At 42.8% G+C, this 4934-nt stretch overlaps 1 annotated feature.

The window, feature by feature from the left end:
• Positions 1256–1395: an enhancer, noted in NCBI's record as "active region_8999". NCBI's record gives its function as "activates an Ori minimal core promoter by ATAC-STARR-seq in GM12878 lymphoblastoid cells {active_cell/tissue: GM12878}" and the evidence as "EXISTENCE:reporter gene assay evidence [ECO:0000049][PMID:35858748]".

Genomic DNA, 4934 nt, shown 5'->3' with positions numbered 1-4934 from the left:
TACTCACTTTTGAACCTGATTTTTGTTTGATTTTGTTTCGATAAACTTTCCAAATAGCTAATGAATCCTTGAGCTGGTTTTGAGCCACAGTGGAGAGAGGGATCAGGACAAAGGCAGTCAAAATTGTCCTCATGAGGACTCCACGGGCGCAGACTGCAGCGTTGGGCTTCCTCCTGCAGGACTGCCCTCTCCCCTCCTGTGGTTTTAGCTTTCTTTGAACTCTGGCTACTGCCTGCTCTGCCACCCCTTCGGGCCCAGTGGTGTAGCAGCGCCACAGTTGCTAGTCGCTGGCTGTGTTGCCATCTCTTACATGGCGAACTGTCCCTTCACTGGCTCCCCCAACTACCTTCTGGACGTGCTACTGTTTCCTCCTGAATTGGAAAGCTGTGCAGAAGCAGTTCTATTGGAATAAGTGGACAGAAAAGAAATAGCATAAAAGTCACAGCTTGCAGGTAAACCGCTTTGAGGTCTTAAAACTGCATGTAGGAAGAGTTTGCAATACCTTGGACCAAATGCATGTTATATATATTGCATGTCTTCATGTGCATTAAGCAGCTCAAACAACAGATTACTCCATGTAGAAGATTAGACGAAAATACAACATGCATGGTGGGCCTAAAATATTAAATGCGTGGTGAGTCTTTACAGAGGGGTCTCTTTCTTCTTTCTACTTTTCAATTGATTTTAAATTTTCAACTTTGAGTATCTATAGATTTTAGAGTAGAAGAAAAACTGCAAAATGTGCATTAAAATATTCTTATAAGGAGGGTTTTCTTAAGGTCAGTGAAACTGAAAATAATACAATTTAGAAATATCAGCAAAGGTTACCTAATTAGGTAGGAGGAGAAATTATCCTAGAAGCAAGGTGTCTGGACTCAGTGAGGGTTATCTCTACCCAACAATTGTGCAGTTGCTTTTTTATCCCATATCCCCAGGTTGCTAAATCTTACTCCTAAAATCTTTTTTAAAGGTTTCTCCTATCTTTTGAACGCTTTGACTCAATACATTGCCCATGTACTGTCTACCTTGCTACTTTTTATTCACCCAACAAGTTCAACTTCAGCTTGCACTGCAGACTACTTAAAAGTTCTTTTGATAACTTAAGTTTCCCATCATGCCACGATTCATCGTCTGACTGGTGCTGCTTAAAGTTTAACTTGGACAGCTTGAGTGGGGCTCTGCAGGCTCCTGCTGGCACAGGAGTGGGCGGGACAGTCACAGGAGAAGGTGAGCTGAGGCTGAGCTTCGGGGAGCTTTCCGGGGTCAAGGAGACATTGGAAAACAGGAAGGGAAGCAAATCTGATGGCTGACATCTTCACAGTCGTGTGGTGAAGGGGAACTGGGGAGAAGAAAGAGGCTAGGAATAGAAAGAGAGACTTGGAGATGAGTCAGAGAGTGAAAAGGGATGGCAGAGGGCGGACGACACCCACACAATGACAAATCCCCAGATTTTTCAGGTGAAAAATGTCAACCACCTGTTGACATACTCCCATTCCCCAAAATAAAAGCTGCCCAGGTAATTTGCAATATTAATGCAGAATTTTGCATTTCAAAAAGCCTAGATTTTGGAGAGAACAAAAGGACCATTCTAGCTACAGCACTGCCAAATGCATGACCAGAGGTTGATTATTATCTACTATTGCTGGGCTTAGTGTCCTAGCCTGTAAAATGGGGATAAGGCAAAAGATTAGAGCATCTTTCTGCAGCAGCACTGAGGGAATTGTAGCTTTTGCTCTGGACTCAGGAGCCCTGAGTTCAAATCCTGGTTCCCTCACTTACTGAGTGAACTCAGTGAAGAGACCTTAATGCCTCCACCTTAGTTTCCTCACCTTGAAAAATGGGGATAACAATGCTTTAAATCTTACAGAGCTGTAGAGAAGCTAAGTGAGTAATAAAATCCCTGAAATGGTGCTTGGCAAGCGGGGAAAGCTACAGAAGTGTTCATTGTGTTTATTGTTATTATTTTTAATGCTCGTGATGGTAAAGATGTACTGGAATTTCTCATATTGTAGTATTTGTGGGTAGCAAGAATCAAGAAAAGTAAGCCCTTGCATTGCCATGTGATTTGTATCCTAACTTGTTGATGTCTTTGAAATAGGAATATGTTTCTAGAATTGTATGATCGAAAAAGGAAGCAACAAACTAGTTTACCTGTGGGTATATCATTGAACTTGCCACCCTTCATCCACCTACAGATGTTAAACCTATAGCCAGAGATCAATATTGTGTCTGCTTAGAACAGCCATCAGGACTCTGCTCTGAAAATATGAGTTTCTTTTTTTTTTTCTTTTCTTTGAAACAGAGTTTCGCTTTTGTTGCCCAGGCTGGAGTGCAATGCCGCGATCTCAGCTCACTGAAACCTCTGCCTCCCAGGTTCAAGCAATTCTCCTGCCTCAGCCTCCCAAGTAGCTTGGATTACAGGCATGCTTCACCATGCCTGGCTAATTTTGTATTTTTAGTAGAGACTGGGTTTCTCCACATTGGTCAGGCTGGTCTCGAACTCCCAACCTCAGGTGATCTGCCTGCCTCAGCCTCCCAAAGTGCTGGGATTACAGACGTGAGCCACCGCGGCAGGCCTTATGAGTTTCTTATACTGGATATATGCTACTATTACTACTGCTAACACTACTACTAATAATAATAATAATTAAAAACAGACACAGCTTTCTAAATATTTGGAAACCCAAGTCTATACAACCCAAGGACTACATATTTGTAGTCCTTCTAAAGTTTCCTTTCTGACTTTGCAGCATGTTCTGATGCCGTCTTAAAACTTTTTCTAAAGTGCCCTACTCAGAATCTCTTGCCTTTCTCTTTCCTTCACCCTGGCCATCTCCTCTTTCCCTGGTTAACTCCTACGAGGTCTCCAAGCCTTCCTTTGCTCCCCTTGGCCAGCCTCACTCCATCTTATTGGAATCACCTCTTTCTTTGTCTGCATCCTTACTAGTCTATGAGCTCTCCTAAGGGAAGGGATTAGGTCTTATTCATCTCCCTCTCTCCCACTCTGCACCATACCTGTGAGTAGAGGGTAGACAATAGTTAAATGAATAATTGAGCGAAGACATGAGTTGTCAGGATCAAGGAAACTCTTGAGCCAGGAGATGAATCAAGCCATCGGTGACTTTAAGAGACAAACAGAGGTCAACAGCTAAGGGAGTTGAGAAAATGGAGGTGCCAAGCAATTGAAGATAGATAGTCCAGGTTCTAGATCTAATGATTCTGGGATCCTGGCAGTGCTTTTCACCCTGTGGGTACGGTGAGATTTTCTTGAGCTGGGATCCTGAAAAGAGCCAGCCATTAATCCCATATAAAAATAAGGTCTGTCCAAAACCATTACAAAGGTATTTGAAAACTCAAGACATCAGGGGGGAAAACAGGCCTGAAATCCACCAATAATCTGAGATTTTGTAGCTTGTCCAGGTTGGAAGTGACCCTCTGGCTCACCTATGAGTCTTGGATATACAAATGATGCCACACATATACTCTACATAACATATGTCCCCGAGGAATGTACAAGACTGTATATTTCATGGAGTCAAGACCCCACTGCTATGCTAATTGTAGTATTTGTGCATAACTTTCCATATCTGTCTTCATGCTTCCCAAATTGCCCATTTATAACTCTTAATGCAAATGCCATTTTTAAAATCAATTCTTTCCTCTGTTAATTTAAAGACTTCAACAAATGTCAAGACAATACAGGCAATTCCAACCAAACAGCAGTTGGCAAGAGCCAAGATTTATGCTCTGTTTATATCATATTGAAATGCAACAATACCAGAAAGGAAAAAGAAAAAAGAACAAGCAAGAGACAAATCCACAAGGCTTTAGTGAATCATTTTGTCATCAAACAATACATTGAGACAGGGATCAGGACAAAATTTCGAGCTTAAACTTGTACTTCTCCACCGAGTACAACCAGGGTACCATGTGGTATAGCAGAGAGACAATCTAGAATCCTTACATATAGTGTTATTCATTCATTGAACTCTTATAAAATTTGATTGAGCACTTTCTGAGTATCAGATTCTGCTGGGTGCTTGAGATTCCTAAGTAAATGACACCATTGTCCATTGGGGGAACAGCATCCAGTAGGGTGCTTAAGACCACTAGATTCTAGCTGTGTTGCCACCATGCTTGGAAAAGGTTGACAGAAGTAACCCATTCAACACACTTCTTGGAGCCAAAGGAGCACTTTTTTTTTTTTTTTTTTTTTTGAGGTGGAGTCTTGCTCTGTCGCCCAGGCTGGAGCGCAGTGGCACAATCTCTGCTCACTGCAACTTCCGCCTCCCAAGTTCAAGCTATTCTTCTACCTCAGCCTCCCAGGTAGCTAGGACTACAGGCATGCGCCACTATGCCCGGCTAATTTTTTTTTTTTTTTTTTGTATTTTTAGTACAGATGGGGTTTCACCATGCTGGCCAGGCTGACCTCAAACTCCTGACCTCAAGTAATCTGCCCGCCTTAGCCTCCCAAAGTGCTGGGATTACAGACATGAGCCACTGCACCCGGCCTGGAGCACTTTCAGTAGTTACTACATTTGTTTAAGGTAAAGTATGGATGCGAGGAACTAGACCCAAAATTACAGTGACCTAAGCAATCAGAGCTTTTTTTCTCTCACCTACGTGGAGGCAGGCAGGCCAGGATTGGGATGGTGCCCTATGGAGTCAGTCTCCTTCTATGTTGCTATACTCTGTATATGCCTCCATTTCCAAGGTGGCTGGTCCTGTGCTAGTGGAAGAGAAAATCGGAGTGTTTTCCAGGAATTTTACAGGCCACTTTCACTTTTATCAGGCTGGACCCATAGCACATGGCTTTGCATAGCTACACAGGACTGTGGGAAAATGCACAGTATTAAGGTTACCCTTGCGTCAGCCAGAATTCTGTAACTATGGAAGAGGAGGCATGGATATTGGGGGTATTCACAGCCTACACA

The sequence above is a fragment of the Homo sapiens genome, chromosome 14 (genome assembly GCF_000001405.40).
Source record: "Homo sapiens chromosome 14, GRCh38.p14 Primary Assembly".
Lineage (NCBI taxonomy): Eukaryota > Metazoa > Chordata > Mammalia > Primates > Hominidae > Homo > Homo sapiens.
This window is presented reverse-complemented; position numbering and strand designations above follow the sequence as displayed.